General features: G+C 41.4%; 1 protein-coding gene across 3 annotated transcripts in view; it reads right to left on the bottom strand.

Annotated features, from left to right (window-relative positions):
• RBM25 (RNA binding motif protein 25) overlaps positions 1 to 22,868 on the bottom strand; it is a 65,366-nt gene that overhangs the window by 29,665 nt on the left and 12,833 nt on the right. For all 3 annotated transcript variants that reach the window (XM_011537044.4, NM_021239.3, XM_047431641.1), the window contains 5 exons: positions 22,488 to 22,608; positions 17,867 to 17,916; positions 16,699 to 16,866; positions 10,684 to 10,741; positions 6,074 to 6,234 (listed from right to left, as the gene is read on the bottom strand). In XM_011537044.4, coding sequence (XP_011535346.1) covers positions 6,074 to 6,234; positions 10,684 to 10,741; positions 16,699 to 16,866; positions 17,867 to 17,916; positions 22,488 to 22,593 — 543 coding nt within the window. In that variant the 5' untranslated portion in view covers positions 22,594 to 22,608. The remainder of the gene's footprint in view (positions 1 to 6,073; positions 6,235 to 10,683; positions 10,742 to 16,698; positions 16,867 to 17,866; positions 17,917 to 22,487; positions 22,609 to 22,868) is intronic.

Genomic DNA, 22,868 nt, shown 5'->3' with positions numbered 1-22,868 from the left:
ACACCTATAATCCCAGCACTTTGGGAGGCCGAGGCAGGCAGATCACAAGGTCAGGAGATCGAGACCATCCTGGCTAACACAGTGAAACCCCGTCTCTACCAAAAATACAAAAAAAATTAGCCAGGCGTGGTGGCGGGCACCTGTAGTCCCAGCTACTCGGGAGGCTGAGGCAGGAGAATGGCGTGAACCCGGGAGGCGGAGCTTGCAGTGAGCTGAGATCGCGCCACTGCACTCCAGCCTGGGCGACAGAGTGAGACTCTGTCTCAAGAAAAAAAAAAAAAAAAAACAAAACCTGATCATGGTAGATGATCAGGTTAGAAAGACCACTCCACAGACTGGCAAGTTTCATCTAAAGCTCTATCTCTGGAATATCAACTATACACGATTTTCTGATTTCCTGTTTTTTTCTTATACTTCAGAAACCAGATGGCCGGGTGCGGTGGCTCACACCTATAACCCCAACACTTTGGGAGGCCGAGGCGGGTGGACCACCTGAGGTCCAGAGTTTGAGACCAGCCTAGCCAACATGGCGAAACCCATCTTTACTAAAAATACAAAAAATTAGCCAGGCGTGGTGGCGGGTGCCTGTACTCCCAGCTACTCAAGAGGTTGAGGCAGGAGAATCGCTTGAACCCAGGAGGCGGAGGTTGCAGTGAGCCGAGATTACACCATTGCACTCCAGCCTGGGCGACAAGAGTGAGACTTCGGTGGGCAGAGAGGGAGAAACCAGAAAGCATAATCAGTAATACTGGGAAACAAAAGGTGAAGGATTCAGCCATATAGGAAGCTGACAGATTATCTGTAATGTTTACATGGCCCACCTAGTTGGTTCTTTTCAGAGAAATTAAAATTTCAATAGTAAAGCTAGTAGCTGTGAAGTTAAACAGCTCTGCTGGGCTCATTCTTTGGCACTGAGGTCTAGAATCCAAAGTACGAACCTTTTAAAAAATTTAAGGAAATGCAGAGTTCTTTCTTTTGAGAAAATGTACTCAGCCAGGCTAATTTCCAAAGATGTTCCCCTGAAGCAGCTGTCCTCTATTAAATAGGTTCTTTCCAGAGAATAACTGTTTTTCCAGCACTTGTCAGTGTTCATTCTTGAATATATGGTTAATAACTATGACTTGTGACATACAAGCAGATATATTGTCTCCTATACTATTTTTGCTGGACAGCCAGAAAGCAATAGGACATGAACTAAATTAGCATGGCCACCTCACATGGAATACTTTACTACTAGAGGTCAATAAGAAATGGAAAGAAAAAAAGTTACACCTGCAAATTCTGCAAAATCTAAATTAAAATGTTCAGTCAAGTTGTTTGACAAGACACCTTACACATGCGCAAAATTCTTCTTAAAATTCTGAATCTGGCTGGGCACAGTGGCTCATGCCTGTAAACCCAGCACTTTGGGAGGCCGAAGCAGGAGAACTGCTTGAGCCCAGGAGTTCGACACCAGCCTGGGCAACAACGCGAGACCCCATCTCATAAAAAAAAGAAAATTTTGGGGGGCAGGTGGGAGGGATAGGATTAGGAGATATACCTAATGTTAAATGACGAGTTAATGGGTGCAGCACACCAACATGGCACATGTATATATACGTAACAAACCTGCACGTGGTGAACATGTACCCTAAAACTTAATTAAAAAAAAAAAAAGGCAAGAAAATTTAAAAAAAAATTCTGGATCATGAAAAATATGTTGCTCCCCTAGACAAACTCATGTTTCCTTTTTAGTCAATGAGAAATAAGGAACTAATTGTTTTCTCTTCTGCCTCAGAGGAAAATGCCTAATAAAGCAACACAAAGGGTTTTCAATGTCTCATTCTCCTATCCTCTACTTAACAGCTTTCTAAATTTCTCCAACTAATCAACGACCAAGAATAAAAAACAATCACCATGTCATATTTTTATACTGAAAAATCATGGCGGCAGTAGCCACCCATCTCACCCCCACCATCTTCTCCCCTCCCCCTGCTCCCTCCCTCCAATCTCTCACTCTCCGACTTTCATCTCTCCCTACACCCCCCACCACCCTTAAAAAAAAAATCATGGCAAATCTCTAATCTACTCCACTATATAGTAATATTTGCTTAAGTTATTTGAAAATTTTTTTTTACATCAGATAGAATGCTTTTTTAACCTATATTTGTTGAGTAATATTGACACTTAAGGAAAATATGCCATGTTTATCCTATGACTTCAAGTACCACCGGGCAAGAAGCCAAAGGGCACTCAGAAATACACATATAACAGTTGGAACAATAAATCATATAACTGATATCTGTCAATTGTTTTAATTTTTTATTAAAAATAATTTTTCTGTGTGATTTTATTGCATGTAACTTCGCTTTTTTTTTGAGACAGAGTCTCACTCTGTCACCCAGGCTGGACTGCAGTGGCGCAATCTCAGCTAACTGTAACCTCCGCCTCCTGGGTTTTAAGTGATTTTCCTGTCTCAGCCTCCCAAGTAGCTGGGATTACAGGTGTGCACCACCACATCCGGCTAATTTTTGTATTTTTTTTTTAGTAGAGATGGAGTTCCACCATGTTGGCCAGGCTGGTTTCAAACTCCTGACCTCAGGTGATCCTCCGACCTCGGCCTCCCAAAGTGTTGGGATTACAGGTGTGAGCCACCACATCCAGACACATATTGCTTTTCCTGAAGACCAACAGATCTAAAGTGTGGTTACTCTGGCTAATGTTGATTATACAAAAAATGTAAGCTGGACACAGTGGCTCCTGCCTGTAATCCCAGCACTTTGGAAGGCTGAAGTAGGTGGATCACTTAAGCCCAGGAGTTCAAGACCAGCCTGGACAACACAGTGAAACTTCATCTCAACAAAAAATATAAAACTTAGCCAGTATGGTGGTGCATACCTGTAGTCCCAGCTGAGGCAGAAGGATCACTGGAGCCTGGGAATAGGAGGTTGCAGTGAGCAGAGATCACACCACCCCACACTCGAGCCTGGGTGACAGAGCAACACTCTGTCCCCACCCCAAAAAAAGCAAGCAAGCAAGAAATGTGAAGTCACATAATTGTGCACTTCCTTATTTATAAAAATACGTAGTATAGTGACTTATTTCATTCTCAGAGTTTTTCAGTATAACATTTGCAAATGCTACAAATTAAATGACCTCACAAACTGAAGATTAAACACAAGAAAACAGTGAGTCCTAGCAAATCAGAACACTTTGAAGATACTGAATCCATACTTTCAACTAGTTAGTATACAGTTATCACAAGGCAAACCTGAAAATTCTTATTTCAAACATTTCTGTTTTTTGAGGTTTTAGTGATGTGACAGGCAGTATTACTGATTTGAAATAAAATATAAATAAAATATAATTTCCTTATGAAGCAGGGTGAGGATAGTAAGACTGACAGATAAGCGTCTATTAACAAATGTTAATTCCATCCTTGCTTTAGGCAAGACACTGTCCTAGATGCTGTGGAGGTACAAGATTAAAGAGACACAGCCCACAAACTTATCACCCTTTCTATCTGTAATCAGAGATGGGGGTTGAAAGAGAATATGGGAATGAGATGGGTTACAAGGGGCTGTGAAAGAGAGAGATATATAAACAATATCTACTAAAACAGCTATAAAGATCTGCTTTATATGGGAACAGAGGACTTAATTCTGTCTGACAGAAACTAAGGGCAGGCTGATAAAGTCTGTATGAATCAAGGGACATGTTAATTATAAGTATGGATAGAATTTCAACAGGGAGCTTGGATAGGCAACAAAGACATGAGATGCCAGCAAAGCAAAAGGGAAGACTGTGGAGGTACATGCAGTAGTATGTGCAGGGGAGGGAAGACGGAAGCTAGAAACGTGGACTGGAGTGAGCCTTGAATGTCATCCTAAAAATATGGACTTTATGGCCGGGCACGGTGGCTCACGCCTGTAATCCCAGCACTTTGAGAGGCCGAGGTGGGTGGATCACCTGAGGTCAGGAGCTCAAGACCAGCCTGGAAGACATGGAGAAATCCCACCTCTACTAAAAACATAAAAATTAGCTGGGGGTGGTGGCGGGTGCCTAAAATCTCAGCTACTCGGTAGGCCAAAGCAGGAGAATCGCTTGAACCTGGGAGGTGGAGGTTGCAGTGAGCCAAGATTTCGCCACTGCACTCCAGTCTGGGCAACAAAGCGAGACTGCATCAAAAAAAAAGAGGGGGGGTACTTTTTTCTGTAAGAAATCCAAAACCATTAAGGATGGGTCTCACATAATATAAGCAAGAGTTTCATAAAATTATACTTATGTTTTAGAAATACAGGCAATGCTGACCGGGTGGAGTGGCTCACACGTAATCCCAGCACTTTGGGAGGCTGAGGCAGACAGATCACCTAAGGTGAGGAGTTCAAGACCAGCCTCACTTACATAGTGAAAATACAAAAAGTAGCCGAGCCTGGTGGCGGACACCTGTAATCCCAGCTACTTGGGAGGCTGAGGAGGGAGAATCACTTGAACCTGGGAGGTGGAGGTTGCAGTGAGCTAAGGTCGCACCACTGCACTCCAGCCTGGGCAAGAGAGGGAAACTCCATTTCAAACAAACAAACAAACAAAACCCTACATTTGGCCAGGTGTGGTGGCTCACACCTGTAATCCCAGCACTTTGGGAGGCCAAGGAGAACAGATTACCTGAAGTCAGGAGTTCGAGACCAGCCTGGCCAACATGATGAAACCCCATCTCTACTAAAAATACAAAAATTTGCTGAACGTGGTGGTGGATGCCTGTAATCCCAGCTACTCAGGAGGCTGAGGCAGGAGAATCACCTGAACACGGGAGGCAGAGGTTGCAGTGAGCCAAGATCGCACCACTGCACTCTAGCCTGAACGACAGAGAGACTCTGTCTCAAAAAAAACAAAAAACAAATGAACCACATTCATACACAGAAAAATGTCTGGAAGAACATACATCCAAACCGCCTACAGTGTTGCTTATGATGATGGGATTACAGGTGGTATTTAATTGATTATTTATACTTTGCTTCATTTTGTGAGTTTTTTGGGTTTGGTTTTTATTTTTTTTTAACAAAGAACTTGGAGGGAACATGAAAGGTATTTCTTTTTTCTTTTTTGGCAGCAGGGAGACAGAGTTTCACTCTAGTTGCCCAGGCTGGAGTACAATGGCTAGATCCCAGCTCACTGCAACCTCCGCCTCTGCAGTTCAAGCGATTCTCCTGCCTCAGCCTCTGAGTTGCTGGGATTACAGGCACCCACCACAACGCTAGGCTAATTTTTTGTATTTTTAGTAGAGACAGGGTTTCGCCACGTTGGCCAGGCTGGTCTCGAACTCCTGACCTCAGGTGATCTGCCCGCCTCTGCCTCCCAAAGTTCTGGGATTACAGGCGTGAGCCACCGTGCCCAGCAAAAAGCGATTTCTATTTTGAAAGATAATAAAAATTTGACGACAGCGAAAGACTCTTCTGGTTTTGTTTGTGTTGGGGGAAGGCATTAATAAATCTATTTTGGATTTGTTCAGCATGAGATGCCAAAAAGGAACTAAGAAGAGAAATGAAGGAAATATATACTCAAGTTTTAGCTATGTTTCACTTTGCTGAGGAGGTAATAATGTATACATTAAAATACAATATACAACAATGTCCTTTATTTTAGCTTCACTTAGTAGAGCTTGGATAAAGCCCCCAACCTAAGGCAAGTAATCAGACTTTCATTCATTTTAGAGTCGGTGTACTTCTAAAAGAGAGGGAAACTAATAAAAATTGTGTAGGTTGAAATATATTTTGTACTTACTTACAAAGCTGCCTTAATGAATTAGCTCTGTTTGGAATAGTCTGTACCAGTGCTTTCTCTGGCAAGTTAACCTTGTCCAGCCTCCCTTACTACTTTCATCCCAACCTGGAACAAGCAAACCAACAGTCATCCACCCACTATGGGCAGATAAGACTTAAAATAACTACAAACTATAAAATACCCTCCTACATTAAGCCACAAGCACATACATGATGATCTTTTGAAGCCCCATATTAGATTCATTTATAATGAGAAGCACTACACTGAAATAGCACAGTCTGGCCTAGAAAAGATAACACGACAGAAAACATACCCCATTAGAAGCTTTCTTCTTTGCTTTCCATTCATCCAGCTGTGCCTTTGTCTTTGCATCAACTTTAACGAGTAGCTTTTTCTCTCCAATTTGCAGGTCATGTAATAATCTGAGTGCACGGAGGGTAGATTCTGGCTCCTTGTACTCACAGAATCCGAAGGCTAGCAATGGATGAAAACAATTAGTGAAATACCAATTCACTTACAAAAGAAAAAAAATTATGGAAAAGTAGAATCACTAGAGTCCAAATGTTTTAATACAAAGACCACTCAATTCATAATTCCACCCCTGTCCACCAATTCCCTTTGATAACCATTTCACTTTTAGTATCCTCAAACAACCAAAGGGGAAAAAAAGGGAAAAACAGAGAGGAAGAAAAATTCAAATCAGACAAACTGCTACTCATTAGAAGCTCTAATAAAATATTTAGCAGAGTCAATGAAATTCATGATTAAAAGGAGTCAATTGGCCGGGCGCGGTGGCTCATGCCTGTAATCCCAGCACTTTGGGAGGCCGAGGCGGGTGGATCACGAGGTCAGGAGATCGAGACCATTCTGGCCAACACAGTGAAACCCCGTCTCTACTAAAAATACAAAAAATTAGCCGGGCGCGGTGGCGGGCGCCTGTAGTCCCAGCTACTTGGGAGGCTGAGGCAGGAGTATGGCGTGAACCCAGGAGGCGGAGGTTGCAGTGAGCCGAGATAGCGCCACTGCAGTCCGGCCTGGGCGAAAGAGCGAGACTCCGTCTCAAAAAAAAAAAAAAAAAGAAAGGAGTCAATTATTTCATAAATTCACCCTATCTAGACTTCCAAACAGCCACAAGAAAGAACAGACTGCAGGAACACAAACAATGCACTTTTCAATTCTGAGATGTTAAATTACAGAATTTGTATCCTAGTTACCAGTCTATTTTACTTACATCTATTTCCTTTTATAACTAGTCAATCTCACTATTAAGATGACTTTAACAGAAATATTAAAACAAAATTAAATCTAAGAAGAGCAACCAACAAATTGAAAATAAAATCAAATAAATCTAAATATGTATATAATGACAGGAAACAGAAAAAAACTACTGATATTAAAATAGTAAATTTGACATTTCAGTGTGATATACCATAAAGACAAACAGATATGCCCCTCAAAAAAGTACCTTTAGGCCGGGCGCAGTGGCTCATGCCTGTAATCCCAGCACTCTGGGAGGCAGAGGCGGGCAGATCACCTGAGATCAGGAGTTCCAGACCAGCCTGGCCAACATGGTGAAACCCTCTCTCTACTAAAAATACAAAAACTAGCTGGGTGTGGTGGCACATGCCTGTAGTCCCAGCTACTAGGGAGGCTAAGGAAGGAGAATTGCTTGAACCCGGGAGGCAGAAGTTGCAGTAAGCTGAGATTGCCCCACTGCACTCCAGCCTGGGCAACAGACAGAGACCCTGTCTCAAAAAAAAAGAAAAGTAATTTTAAATGATCATATTGCTGATGATAGTGTCAATGTTGTTAGTGTGAAACTGTTATATGTGCAATGCAAGATAAAGCAACTCAGTAATTAATAGTTTATCATCCCCAATGGCCTTGAAACTCGGGGACCTCAGTGTGGGGAAAAAGGAGATACAAATATATGACAAAACAGGCTAAATAAAAACCTTTTAGTCCTGAATCTGAATTAGTATACACTGGAAAAACCTAAAAGCAAACACCAAACCACTGTTTTGTTTTTTTTTTTTTTTAGACGGAGTCTCGCGCTGTCACCAGGCTGGAGTGTAGTGGTGCAATCTCGGCTCACTGCAAACTCTGCCTCCCGGGTTGAAGCGATTCTCCTGCCTCAGCCTCCTGAGTAGCTCAGACTAAAGGAGCGCACCACCACACTCAGCTAATTTCTGTATTTTTAGTAGAGACAGGGTTTCACCATGTTGGCCAGGATGGTCTTGATCTCTTGACCCGCCTGCCTCAGCCTCCCAAAGTGCTGGGATTACAAGCTCGAGCCACCACACCCATCCCAAACCACTGTTAATATGAGTGCACCTAGTGTCCAGATCGTGATCTTCAAAACAATTTCCCCTGGAGAAATGGCTGATTCTAAGTCTGGGGCCGAAAACCTATTATACTAGATGACCTTAGAACAAATTGTCATACCAGATAACAAAGCAGCTGTCAAAGGTGTTCAGGGTCATGTCAAAACCACTGGAGATGTAAAGTGCAGAGACAATTTAAGTTAAGCTTTAATGGTGATAATAACTACAATGAATCCATATTAAATACAATAACACTAAATATGCTTCAATTCCTAAGTTCACAATAATTCAAAAGAAAAAAGAAAATCAGTCACTGCTAGAGAATGCTGAGGATAGCAACTCATTGTTTTAAGAAAGCAAGCCAGTGCATCTATCCTGCCTATTCTGTATTAAATATGCCTCTATGCCAGGCATGGTGGCTCAAGCCTGTAATCCCAGCACTTTGGGAGACTGAGGTGGGCGGATCACCTGAAGTCACGTGTTCAAGACTTGCCTGGCAACCAGGGCAAAATCCCGCCTCTATTAAAAAAACCAAAAAATTAGCCAGGCATGGTGGTGGGCGCCTGTAATCCTGGCTACTCAGGAGGCTGAGGCAAGAGAACCACTTGAACCCAGGAGGCGGAGGTTGCAGCGAGCTGAGATGGTGCCATCGCACTCCAGTCTGGGCAACAAGAGCGAAAAACTCCATCTCAAGAACAACAAAAATGCCTCTAAGTTACCAAACAGTAGATGCAGGGGCAACTTTCTCCATAGAGAAGCATTCTACTAATATATGAAAAAGATTTGTTCCTCAATAAAAGAATGACAGAATTCTTCAAAACAGACTACTGATGAGGCCGGGCGCGGTGGCTCACGTCTGTAATCCCAGCACTTTGGGAGGCCAAGGCGGGCAGATCACGAGATCAGGAGATCGAGACCCTCCTGGCCAACACGGTGAAACCCTGTCTCTACTAAAAGTACAAAAATTAGCTGGGTGGGGTGGTACATGCTTGTAATCCTAGCTACTCGGGAGGCTGAGGCTGGAGAATCGTTTGAATCAGGGAGTTGGAGATTGCAGTGAGCCAAGATTATGCCACTGCACTCCAGCCTGGCAACATAACAAGACTCTGTCTCAAAAAAAAGAAAAAAGACTACTGATGAATTACTTCCTAATGAATTAATCAATCTAGGCACTGGCAACACTGATGCTATTACACATACAAAAAAGACAATCTCACATGTGTTCCCTGATGGAAGAATACTACCTTTATAGTATTCTTGCTATAAGGTGCTAGAATAAAAACATTAAAAAAAAAAATAGCGGCCAGGAGCAGTGGCTCGTGCCTATAATCTCAGTACTTTGGGAGGCTGAGGTGGGCGGATCATAAGGTTAGCAGCTCAGGAGCAGCCTGACCAACATGGAGAAACCCCGTCTCTACTAAAAATAAAAAATTAGCCGGGCATGGTGGCACGTGCCTGTAATCCCAGCTTCTCGGGAGGCTGGGGCAGGAGAATTGCTTGAACCTGGGAGGTGGAAGTTGCAGTGAGCCAAGATCGCACCACTGCACTCCAGCCTGGGCAAGAAGAGCGAAACTCCTCCAAAAAAATAAAAAACACAAACAAAACAAAACAAACCACCACACAGCACACATCAAGTACAACTACTGACCACTTTACAGAAAACACAGAGGATAGATTAATGGCAAATTATAGTACTGGAGCTGCATTCAGCAAAACTCAACTTAAAAAATACTATTGCACAAATGACCCAGTTTCTTCAACAAATAAACTGCAAGGAAAATTAGAAATAGAATAACTTAAAATATTAAGAGTCTGGCCAGTTAGCTCAGTTGGTTAGAGGATGGTGCTAATAAAAAAAATTAGGAGACTTAAAACAAATTGCCAACTAGTTGCAATGTGTGGACTTCATATAGATCCTGAATCAAATCAACTATTTAAAAAATTAACATTTGAGGTCAGGTGTGGTGGCTCCTGCCTGTAATGCCAGCATTTTAGGAGGTCAAGGCGGGTGGATCATCTGAGGTCAGGAGTTTGAGACCAGCCTGGCCAACATGGTGAAACCCCGTCTCTACTAAAAATACAAAAATTAGCCGGGCATGGTGGCGCACACCTGTAATCCCAGCTACTCAGGAGGCTGAAGCAGGAGAACTGCTCCAACCCAGGAGGCAGAGGTTGCAGTGAGCCAAGATCACGCCACTGCACTCCAGCCTGGGTGACAGAGTGAGACTAGGTCTCAAAAAAAAAAAAAAAAAGTTAACAGGCCATGATTGTCTCTTCTTCTCCCTTACTAATTGTTCCATTTTGATCATGCAGTCATTTCTTGAGACAAAAGAGACTTTTGAAAGAACAAGAAACCAGTTAAATTGAGCAATTTTAATTTTTTCCTTTCCTCTTACACCTTTTTCCTCCTTCTGATCTCAATTCTCAGCCAATATTTTCCCAAACTGCCTTTTAACCCTATTTCAATAAAAAAGAGGACAAAGAGTGCTAATAAAATAAGTCTTACTGATAAAGACAATGAGAGTTAAGTCATGCAAAGTGATTTAAGCACACAGGTTAGTTAAAGTGATTTCAGCAAATAAGGAAAAAAATGACATACCTTGAAGCTTTCCGGAAGCACCTTGTACTCTCTTCCAGCTCAAAACCAAACCACATTTCTTAAAAAGAAAACAAAACAAACAGATTGCTACCATTTAACAAAATAATTTTTAATGTAACTAAAAGCAAAATTATATTTCTACTAGGGATAAAAAACATAAAATAAAAAACCAGCAACTACATTTGCGAAAATTTTTGCAATTCCCACAAACTTATCACATGAAAGAAATGAACAACAAATCATTTAAAGAAAAATATAAATTCTTACTGATTCTTCATTTGCAGAACATTGTTTACCTTTTATTAAAAGTTTCGCATCACTACTTATCCTAACAAAATAAACACGTAAACCTAAATGCCTAAAATTAGAATGGTTAAAACAAACTATAATAAATTTAAGTAAATATTATGAATCTATAAAGAAATGTTTTGAAACAATATGTATGTATTTATAAAGGATTTTTTTTTCTTTTGAGACGGAGTCTCGCTCTGTCACCCAGGCTGGAGTGCAGTGGCGTGATCTTGGGTCACTGCAACCTCTGCCTCCCAGATTCAAGCGATTCTTCTGCCTCAGCCTCCTAAGTAGCTGGGACTACATGCAGGCACCACCACGCCTGGATAATTGTTTTTTGTTTTTTTTTTTTTATTTATTTTTAGTAGAGACGGGGTTTCACCATATTAGCCAGGCTGGTCTTGAACTCCTGACCTCGTGATCTGCCCGCCTCAGCCTCCCAAAGTGCTGGGATTACAGGCACGAGCCACTGCGCCCAGCCATCCCATTAACATGGGAAAACGCTTGATACGGTATGCAAAAATAACTTGGGAAAAGAAAATGCAGATACACAGCAAGACTCTAACTATAAACAAAAACAGCTTTCTGTAAAAATAAAGAGAAATATTCCAAAATGTGAAGGAGGGCAGGTTATCTGAACGGTAGGACACTATTATACTTTAAAAATAAAAGCAGCGAGGTGTAGCTCACGTCTATAATCCCAACACTTTGGGAGGCTGATGTGGAAGGATTGCTTGAGCCCAGGAGTTCAAGACCAGCCTGGGCAACATAGGGAGACACTGTCTCTACAAAAACAAAAAAATTAGGCGGGCGTGGTGGCACACACCAGTGGTCCCAGCTACTCAGGAGGATGAGACGGATGGATGGCTAGAGCCCAGGAAATCGAGGCTGCAGTGAGCTGTAATCATGCCACTATGCTCCAGTCTGAGCAACAGAATGAGACTGTCTCAAAAAAGAAAAATAAAATAAAGTTCCATCCAGTTAAAAAAAAGACAGAAGGAGGAGGGTGTAGGTGAGAAATCTTCAGAGAACAAGAGAAAACTAATGGAAACTTGAAACATGGCATTAAAAATAAATATTTCAATGTAAGTCTGGAAGGTAAAGTTAAGGACAAATCCCAAGAACCCGTGCAAAATAGTAAGAGATGGAAAATAGGAAATCAAAAACACATAGGTCAAACCTGGAAGCTCAACATCCAAACAGAGTTCCTGAAGAAAGTAAAAAGAATTCTCAAATAGCTCAAAATTTTCTCCTGAAAAAAGGCTCCAGAACGAAATGGCCCACCAAGTAAGTGACCAACACAATGATATAAGAAAAATAAGAAAATCAAATAAACATTCGAAGAATTTCACATAATTAGGAACTAAAACCTCCAATCAGTCAAATCCTCACTAGGAGAGGCATTCCAGGGAAAAACAGTTCACACACAAAGAGCATTCAGAATGATGCGGGACTTCTGAAAACCATCATTAGATGCTATAACACGATAAGGCAGCACCTTCAATGTGAGGAAGATAAGCTTCATCACCGAATTCTATATCCCGGTAAACTACTGACCACATGAAATAAAAAGCACTTCAGATTTAGATTCAGAAAAGTTACCAACCACATACCCATATATACCATGTACATCATATACAGAGGATGTATCATCCCAATATAACAGGAACTACTATGTGTCGGCACAAGCAAGATATAGGATCCAAACCACCCAACACAGAACAGCAATAAGGGGAATACTAGAAAAGACAGAAAAAAATCCAAGGATAAAAGTAGACTTAGAGGAACCAGAACACATGAGACGAACAAAGGGACCTGACAGGAGGAGCTCTAGAAAAGAAGGGAAAAGAATCCCCACACTTTGGGAAGCCAAGGTGGGTGGATCACTTGAGGTCAAAAGTTCGAGACCAGTCTGGCCAACATGGTAAAACCCCATCTCTACTAAAAATACAAAAATTAGCCGGACGTGGTGGCGGGTGCCTGAAATCCCAGCTACTTGGGAGGCTGAGGCAGAAGAATCACTGACCCGGGAGGCGGAGGTTGCAGTGAGCTGAGATCGTGCCACTGCACTCCAGCCTGGGCAACAGAGCGAGACTCTGTCTCAAAGATAAAAAATAAAAAATTAAAATAAGAAAATGGACTAGGCAGTGGCTCACGCATGTAATCCCAGCACTTTGGGAGGCTGAGGCAGGGAGATCACTGGAGGTCAGGAGTACCAGACCAGCCTGGCAAACCTGGTGAAACCCCGTCTCTACTGAAAATACAAAAATTAGCCAGGTGTGGTAGCAGGCATCCATAATCCCAGCTACTCGGGAGGCTAAGGCAGGAGAATTGCTTGAACCCCGGATGGCGAGGTTGCAGTGAGCTGAGATCACGCCACTGCACTCCAGCCTGGATAACAGAGTGAGACTCCATCTCAAATAAAAAAAAAAAAAAAGAAAGAAAGAAAACAAACCAAAGAAAGAAAATACAATCATAGCACATAACCTAGTTCTGCTAAAACTATTTACATAATAATACTTATTATCAAGTTCGCCATCTTGTAACACCTGTAAGGAAGTAGGGAAGGGAGACTGAGGCCTTTAACAGTTTAGGCCTCAAGCTACCATAACATGTCAACAGATAATATCAAAATTATGAAGAACAGTAAAAAGGCATATTGAAATAGGAATAAGGTATTTCACAACACAATGTAAAATTCTAAATAAACACCAATTGTTAAAAAAGATGTGTAAGAGGGCCGGGCGCGGTGGCTCACGCCTGTAATCCCAGCACTTTGGGAGGCCAAAGCGGGCAGATCACGAGGTCAGGAGATCGAGACCATCCTGGCTAACATGGTGAAACCTTGTCTCTACTAAAAATACAAAAAATTAGCCGGGCATGGTGGCGGGCGCCTGTAGTCCCAGCTACTTGGGAAGCTGAGGCAGGAGAATGTCATGAACCCAGGAGGCGGAGCTTGCAGTGAGCCAAGATGGTGCCACTGCACTACAGCCTGGGCGACAGAGCAAGACTCCATCTCAAAAAAAAAAAAAAAAAAAAAAAAAAAAGATGTGTAAGAATAGAAACTCGGACATGACACTGCTGCAGTAAATATAAATAAATTGGTGTGGAATTATCTTGTAAAGCTGCAGATAAGCATGCCCTAAGACTCAGAAACGGCACTTCTATGAGAATTTGTGATGAGAATCTTTTCACATACACCTAGGGAGAAAACATTAGCAGTAATAACATAGCAAAACAGAGACTTCCAGAAGCAGACAGGAGCAAACACATTTCTATACTCCAGTACCTTCTGACTTTCCTGAATTCCATTAGAGCAGAGTAAGTGCTAGTTCTCTGCAGACCTCAGATTAGGCCTTGTGGCTACAGTGAAAAGAAGCCCAGGAGAAAACTCAAGAATAAAAATGGAGTCAGGCTTCAGACTGAAATTACCAAAAATCCCATGGAAGTAATAGAAGAAAACAAAACTGAGAAACCCAAAACATCCTCAAACCAGTTAATTAAAACTTACAGAGTGCCCAGGAGATCCAGTCTTCTAAAAGAACAGGAATTTCTTAAATATGAATAGTTGAGGAACAAGAATCATGAATGATGTAAAGTAATTGCCCAGCATCTCAGAGGGGCATAAGGAGAGCAGGCAACAATATTTCCAGAGGATGGCAAGATTGCAGGACTCATACTGAACTACTCATGAGGTGAACCACAGGTTGAGATAACCCTGGCCCTGTCCTTACAGAGAACCTACACAAGATTCTGGGATACAGACGAAGAATGACATCTTTGCAGATCCTCTCAGTGCAGAATATAGTCATTCTTCCAAACTCCTTTTTTTGTGTGTGAGACAAAGTCTAACATTGTCACCCAGGCTGGAGTGCAGTGGCGCCATCTCAACTCACTGCAACCTCCGCCTCCCAGGTTCAAATGATTCTCCTGCCTCAGCCTCCCGCGTAGTTGGGATTGCAGGCACCGACAACCACGCCTGGTTAATTTTTGTATTTTTAGTAGAGATGGGGTTTCACCATGTTGATCAGGCTGGTCTCAAACTCCTGACCTCAAGTGATCCACTCACCTTGGCCCCGCAAAGTGCCGGGATTACAGGTGTGAGACACCGCACCTGGCCTTATTTTATTATACAATCATTCAGCATTATTTCACTTAACAATGTACATGTATCATCAAGATAAAATCTTAAAAAGGTAAAAAAAGTGAATCAACAAGCTTACCAAATTTAAACAACTTATTACTATTCAAGCTCAGAATAAAACTTTAAAAGGAATCAGTCAATCATCATTGGATGCTAAAATCATTGTTTAACATCATTGGGGAAAAGGACTCACAGTCTCAAAATATTAACCCTAGCCAGGTGTGGTGGCCCACGCGTGTAATCTCAACACTTTGGAAAGCCAACGCAGGCGGTTTGCTTGAGGCCAGGAGTTCAAGACAAGTCTGGATAACATGATGAAACCTTGTCTCTAAAAAAACACAAAAATGAGCCAGGTGTCATGGCACGCGCCTGTAATCCCAGCTACTAGGGAGGCTGAGGCATGAGAATCACTTAAATACAGGAGGCAGAGTTTGCAGTGAGCCAAGATGTCACCACTTCATTCAGCCTGTGTGACAGAGCAAATCTGTCTCAAAAGTAAATAAAAATCTTTCATTGGATCATGGATGAAAAATAAAACAACTATTAATATTATGGCCATTACTGGGAAAATTAAATATGAACTACATGTGCATTAGTTAACAATATTATATCAATTTTATATATTTTTTTGTTTTAGAGACTCTCTTGCTCGGGCTGGAGTGCAATTACAAGATCATAGCTCACTGCAGCCTTCAACTCCTAGACTCAAGCAATTCTCCCACCTCGGATTCTGAACAGCTAGGACTACAGGCGTGCATCACCACACCTGGCTTTTTTTTTATTTTTATTTTTTAATCCCTGTCATTATTTTTTTGAGATGGAGTCTCGCTCTGTCGCCCAGGGTGGAGTGCAGTAGCGCGACCTCAGCTCACTGCAGCCTCCATCTCACGGGTTCAAGGGATTCTCCTGCTTCAGCCACCCGAGTAGCTGAGATTACAGGCACACGCCACCACGCCTGGCTAATTTTTGTATTTTTTGTAGAGACAGGGTCTCACCATGTTGGTCAGGCTGGTCTCGAACTCCTGACCACAAATGATCTGCCCACCTCGGCCTCCTGAAGTGCTGGGATTACAGGCATGAGCCACTGCATCTGGCCCTATTATTTTTTAATTTTTTGTAAAGATGTGTCTCGATATGTTGCCCAGGCTGGTCTCGAACTCCTAGCTTAAGAGATCCTCCTGCCTCAGCCTTGCAAAGGACTAGGATGACAACCACAGGCAAAAGCCACTGCACCCGGCCAAATTTCATGTGTGATAGTGGCATTGTGATTATGTCGCAGAATGTCCTTGCTCTTAGGAGATAAATGAAGGATTCACAGGTGAAATGTTATGCCACAATTTACTTTCAAATTATCCAAGAAAAAAGTGTGTGTGGTACACATGTGTACATAAAATATCTAAACATGTTCATTGGTGAATCTAGGAAAAGAATACAAACGTGTTCACTGTACTTTTTCACCTTTGCTGCAGGACTGAAATTTTTTAAAATAAAAAGCAATCACTGAAAGTCTTCTTTCTGCTTAAGTTTGAAATGTAGAATGATAAAAAAATTTTTAATGAAAAATAAACAGTTTAACTTACAGCTAAGAGTTGTCTTATAAGCATGTCTGAAGCTTTCTCGGAAATGTTGCCAACAAAAACAGTGGTAGTAGGACCACAATTTTCATCATTTTCTTTAGCCTTTAAGCCTGGATGATCCTTTCTTGCGCCCAAATGCTTTCCAACCATAGACACAGTGGGTACTAAGACCTAAGGTGAAGAAACAAAATAAAAATTGATCCAGCAATTAAATTTCCTACCACAATTAACATTAGGCTAAAAACATCAGGATTAAATAAATATATATAGCACATTATTTAAGCTCTGCATGCTTGTATACTTCTAAAGCTCCTAAAGTGCATAGCACATTTCATTAATGCAAACTTATTTGTGACAAGTAAACTTCTACTACTAGATTACCTTTCTTCTTAAAAAAGAAACAAAAATAACCAAGAAAACTTTGTTATGTTTAAGACATAATTTTTACTTTTATTTTCTGAAACGGAATTTCGCTCTGTCGCCCAGGCTGGAGTGCAGTGGCATAATCTCGGCTCACTGCAACCTCCGCCTCCTGGGTTCAAGGGACTCTCCTGCCTCGGCCTCCCGAGTAGCTGAGATTACAGGCGCGCACCACCAAGCCTAGATAATTTTTTGTATTTTTAGTAGACACAGGGTTTCACCATGTTGGCCAGGCTAGTCTTGAACTCCTGGCCTCAGGTGATCCTGGCCTATGTCTTGAACATTTAAAATTTATGCCTTAGGCCATATACCTTAGGAAGGTAGGAGGAAACATGTAAAAGGTAGTCCACACAAATTTCATTTCAAAATTTTAATTTTTACAAGGATTCCTATGTTCTTTTAAGAGATCAGACATGTCACATCCTTCTCCCATCTCCCAGGACCAAGATGAGAAGGCAATGAAGAGCCAAAGTCCTAAATTTGTAATAACAAGTATATGAAGAGTCTAGATAGTAACAGGAAAATCATAGAATTATCTACTTAGGGAGCACATTGCAAGGGCAACTGCATATATGCACACCTAAGTGAAAATGATACTTATTCAAATAAATGATATGCTCTACAGGGGTGCTGTCATTCTGTCCTTGTTATTCTTTTAAATACTCATAATTTATCTAAGTTTATCATGCTGTTCAGCTTAAAAGCACTAGCACTACCATAACTCATGATTCCTCCTTTAAGTTATACTTACAGTTGGAGCAGGAGCCATAATGCTCATTGGTACAGGAATCATTGGGGTCCCTAAGAAAAGAAAAACCACACTGATTTTACATGACTGCATTCTCTATCAACAACATGCCACACAATTAAGTATCCTTACTCATAATTAACATAAGTGGAAATATAAGACAAATGAAAGTGAAATACTGATAAATACTATCTTATTTTCAAAAGGAATGTGGTATCAGGTTGGTCCATATAAACTTACAAAAAAGACTATCCTGAAAACAAAATGGCCACCTCAATATGCTTTTGACTTAAAGAGCATAAAATCCTGGATAGTTATCCATTCGGGTTCATGTGGTTCGGTGATCCTCAAAACCAATGCCTTTCACAAATACAGACTGACTTATAGGTGAACAATGCTATTAAAGAATCCTTTAAAAGTAAAAACAGCTGGGCACGGTGGCTCACGCCTGTAATTCCAGCTCTTAGGGAGGCACAGGCAGGAGGACAGATTGAGCCCAGGAGATCGAGATCTGCCTGGGCAAAATAGTGAGACCCCGTTCTCCACAAAAAGGAAAAAAAAAAAAGACCAAAAAAAAGGTAAAACACGTCGTGCAACATGGTGATACAGTTAGTAAGTGTACTATATTCTTGAAAATAACTAAGAGAAAATCTCCACTTAAAATCTAGGGTGTTCTCACAACAACAAAAAATAAGTATGTAAAGTAATACACCAAGTGTTAATTAGCTCAATTTAGTCATTCCACAACATATGTTATTTCAAAACGTTGTGCATGATAAACATATAAAATTTTGTCAAATAAAGTAAAAACAAATCTTTTGACAGTTATTTTAAGCATGAGATGAGAAATTTATGTGTAAATCTAAGAAGAATCTTGTTATTCCTGGCTCTTTCGCAGAAAATAAAAATCATGGGCCGGGCGCAGTGGCTCACGCCTGTAATGCCAGCACTTTGGGAGGCAAAGATGGGTAAATCACCTGAGGTCAGGAGTTTGAGACTAACCTGACCAACATGGAGAAGCCCTGTTTCTACTAAAAATACAAAAATTAGCCAGGCGTAGTGGTGCGTGCCTGTAATCCCAGCTACTCGGGAGGCTGAGGCAGAATTGCTTGAACCCGGGAGGCAGAGGTTGCAGTGAGCCGAGATCACACCATTGCACTCCAGCCTGGGGGACAGGTGCAAGACTCTGTACCAAAAAAATAAATAAATAAATAAAATCATGCTTGTAGTTACAGCTATTCTGGAAGCTGAGGCACAAGGATCCCTGAGCCCAGGAGTTCAAGGCTGCGGTGTGCTAGCATTGTGCCTGTGTATAACCACTGTACTCTAGCCTAGGAAACATAGCAAAACTCCATTTCTTTATTTAAAAAAAAAAAAAAAGGCAGGGAGTGAGGGGACACGGTAGCTCACACCCATAATCCAAACACTTTGGGAGGCCAAGACAGGCACATCGCTTGAGCCAACACGGCAAAACCCCATCTCTACAGAAAATACAAAAATTAGCCGAGCATGGTGGCACACACTCATAATCCCAGTTATTAGGGAGACTGAATCAGGAGAATCACTTGAACCCAGGAGGCAGAGACTGCAGTGAGCTGTAATGGCACCACTGCACTCCAGCGACAGAGTGAGACTCTCTCAAAAAAAGCAAAACAAACAAAAAAAAAAATCAAAGAAATTTAAAATCTTTTCTATAAACCCAATCTACTGGTAAGGAAATTAAAGCACAGATTCTCCATAACCATCTTTTCTGATTCTAAACAAGCAATTAAGCTTACTGCCACCCCCCACCTCCCCACAAGACAGGGTCTTTCTTCCCTATGTTGTCCAGGCTGATCTTGAACTCCTGGGTTCAAGAAATCCTCCTGCCCTCAGCCTCCCAAAGTGATGGGATTACAGGTATGAGCCACCATGCCCAGCCTATAACTTCTAGAACACTCGGGCTTTGCATCATGGTTATGGTAAGGCCCATCGAAAAACGGATCTGAGTCAGTCATGGTGGCACACATCTATAGTCTCAGCTACTCAGTAGGCTGAGGCAGGAGGATCAGTTGAGTCCAGGAGATAGAGGCCACATTAAGTTATGGTTATGCCACTGTACCCCCAGCCTGGGAGACAAAGAGAGATCCTGTCTCAAAAAAATTAATAAATTAAAAATTAAAACCCAGAACTGCATTATGAGCCTATAAATATATGAAGAAAATCAGGATATACGGACCAAAGAGAAAACTGAAGCCCAAATGAAAGTTGTTCAAAACACTTTCCTTCTATAACTATTAATCTGTTTGATGGCTGATAACTAACTTTATTCAGTTTTCTGCAACATTTTCTCAATTTTCTCAATAGAATTTCCTTTCAGCAAAATTCATTTTAAGAAAAAACTTTGTCCAAAGGGCCAGCTAGAGCCTTCCAGTAGAATTTAGTCTATTTATGGTCCATTATAAAACAACTAAGTTACTACTTAAAATCAGTAATTGTTACATGGGATAATAAAGCAGTAGTGTAAACTTTTACATTACTCTTCTGGCAGCAGATGATAACAAATATACATCCATGATTATCTAGAAGCACAGCGTAAAGCAGCTCCACTACAAGCATAATGTCTAAAATAGCTTATTAAAGTACTGCATTCTATTCCATAATATACATGCATAAACAGTTGTTCTGATTTTTTTTTCTTTTTGAGACAAAGTTGCATTCTTGTTGCCCAGGCTGGAGTGCAGTGGCATGATCTCAGCTCACTGCAACCTCTGCTTCCCAGTTTCAAGCGATTCTCCTGCCTCAGCCTCCTGAGTAGCTGGGATTCACGCCTGAGCCACCACGCCCAGCTAATTTTTTGTATTTTTAGCAGAGATGGCATTTTGCCACGTTGGCCAGACTGGTCTCTAACTCCTGAACTCAGGTGATCCACTCACCTTGGCCTCCCAAAGTTCTGAGGTTACAGGCGTGAGCCACTGTGCCCGGCCTGATTTTTTTAAATTATGATTTTCCCCAAATTCTTGAAGTGTTAAATAATATTCCACAGAAATTCCCATATTTATCTTGGGGCTTTTCAGACCCAAGGGTAGAAGGTTCCCAAAGCTGAGCCTGTGGCAGTAAATTAAAAATTTTACAATGAGTAGTTGAATCCAAAATAAAGACAAGGTCAGGTGCAGGGGCTCACATCTGTAATCCCAGAACTTTGGAAGGCTGAGGCAGGAGTATACCTTGACCCCAGAAGTTCAAGACCAGCCTGGACAAGATGGTGAGACCCCCATCTTTATAAAATGTTTTTTAAAAAAATTTTAATTAACTGAACATGGTGGCAAAAGCCTGTGGTCCCAGCTCCTCAGGAGGGCTGAGATGGGAGTCCAGGAGGTCAAGGCTGCAGTGAGCCATGATCGTGCCACTGTACTCCAGTCTGGGCAACAAAGTGAGGCCTCGCCCAAAACACACATACACACACACGCACACACAAACAAAATAAAGACAAATGTGCTGTTTATACAACCCCCGTAACATACATGCTATGAATTAACAACCCATCATAAGTCAGCCAACTGCAATGTTCTTAAGTCAAAAGAAAAATTTCTTATAAGCAAAGATTTTTGTTTTTTCAAAGATGAGGTCTCACTCTTTGGACTTGAACTCCTGGGCTCAGGCCATCCTCCCACCTCAGTCTCCTGAATAGCCAAGACAACAGACACGCACCACCACACCCAGCATAAGCAATGTTCACTATGTACTTCAGGATAATGGTTCTCAAATGTGGATTCTCCATGCTTAAATGAGTGCCAAAAATTACCTGTGAACTTGTTAAAAATTAAGAATCCTGAGCCCCAATTTCTGAGGATCTGATTCAGGGGGATGGAGCAGGGTCTGAACATTTTTTTTAACTCCATAAATCTTTACTTATATTGACTTATAATATACACTTTTAAGTATCTGGAAAAATCAAGAAAAAACTAATAACCTTATTGCTTCCCTTTTTAGTAAGGGGATAGCAATAGCAGTTATGGGAGTATATGAAGAAAATTTTTCACTGTATTACTTTCTGTATTTTTTTTTTGTTTTTGAACAATGTGTATGTATTACCCATTTTTTTTAAATATAGAATTTTTAGGCTGGGCATGGTGGCTCACACCTGTAATCCCGCACTTTGGGAGCCGGAGGCCGGCAGATCATTTGAGGCCAAGAGTTCGAGACCAGCCTGGCCAACATAGCAAAACCCTGTCTCTACTAAAAATATAAAACTTAGCCAGGCATGGTGGCAGGTGCGTGCAATCCCAGCTACTCAGGAGGCTGAGGCAGAGAACTGCTTGAGCCTAGGAGGTGGAGGTTGCAGTGAGCGGAGATCGTGCCACTGCACTCCAGCCAGTGTGACAGAGCAAGACTCTAGCTCAAAAAAAAAAAGAATTTTTTAAAAACTTTCCAGATGAGAAGAAAAAAAAAAATTTCCAGATGAGTTTGATACTCAGCCAGATATAAAAGCTACTGCTATAGGAAAAAGAGACATCCACATTTCCCAAACAACGCTGAGAGGCATCTTCACTAACACAGTCACATATCTAACATTTTCCTGAAGTTAGTATCACAAAGACAAAAGTACAAGTTTAACGACAAAAAACAGTATCAACAAACTTACCTGGAGGTACAGGTGGAGGAAATCCTGGAAACTGCGGGGGTGGGATCCCTGGTGGGAGTGCTGGGATTCCCATGGGAGGGCGATTCAAATGAGGTGGAAAAGACATTCTTACTGCAGCAGTCTAAAGAAAAAAGGACATGACAAATCATTTTATTTGAAAACGTCACAATTTTATATGCCTTCTTTGTTGACTTTCATTTTTAGAGTATCTGCAAAATTCTGAACTTTTCTTACCCAAAGAAATTGGCAAAGACCCTCTTTTCATTGAGAATTCTTACGACTTAGATTTTTTCTAAAATAAGTTTCCAAAATGTACATGATCGAAGTTCAGGACAGACTCCTACAATCATGTAGGAATACATATAAAGGAAGAAAAAAATT

The sequence above is a fragment of the Homo sapiens genome, chromosome 14 (assembly GCF_000001405.40).
Source record: "Homo sapiens chromosome 14, GRCh38.p14 Primary Assembly".
Classification (NCBI taxonomy): domain Eukaryota; kingdom Metazoa; phylum Chordata; class Mammalia; order Primates; family Hominidae; genus Homo; species Homo sapiens.
The sequence above is the reverse complement of the archived record's forward strand: the minus strand, read 5'-3'. Positions and strand labels throughout refer to the sequence as shown.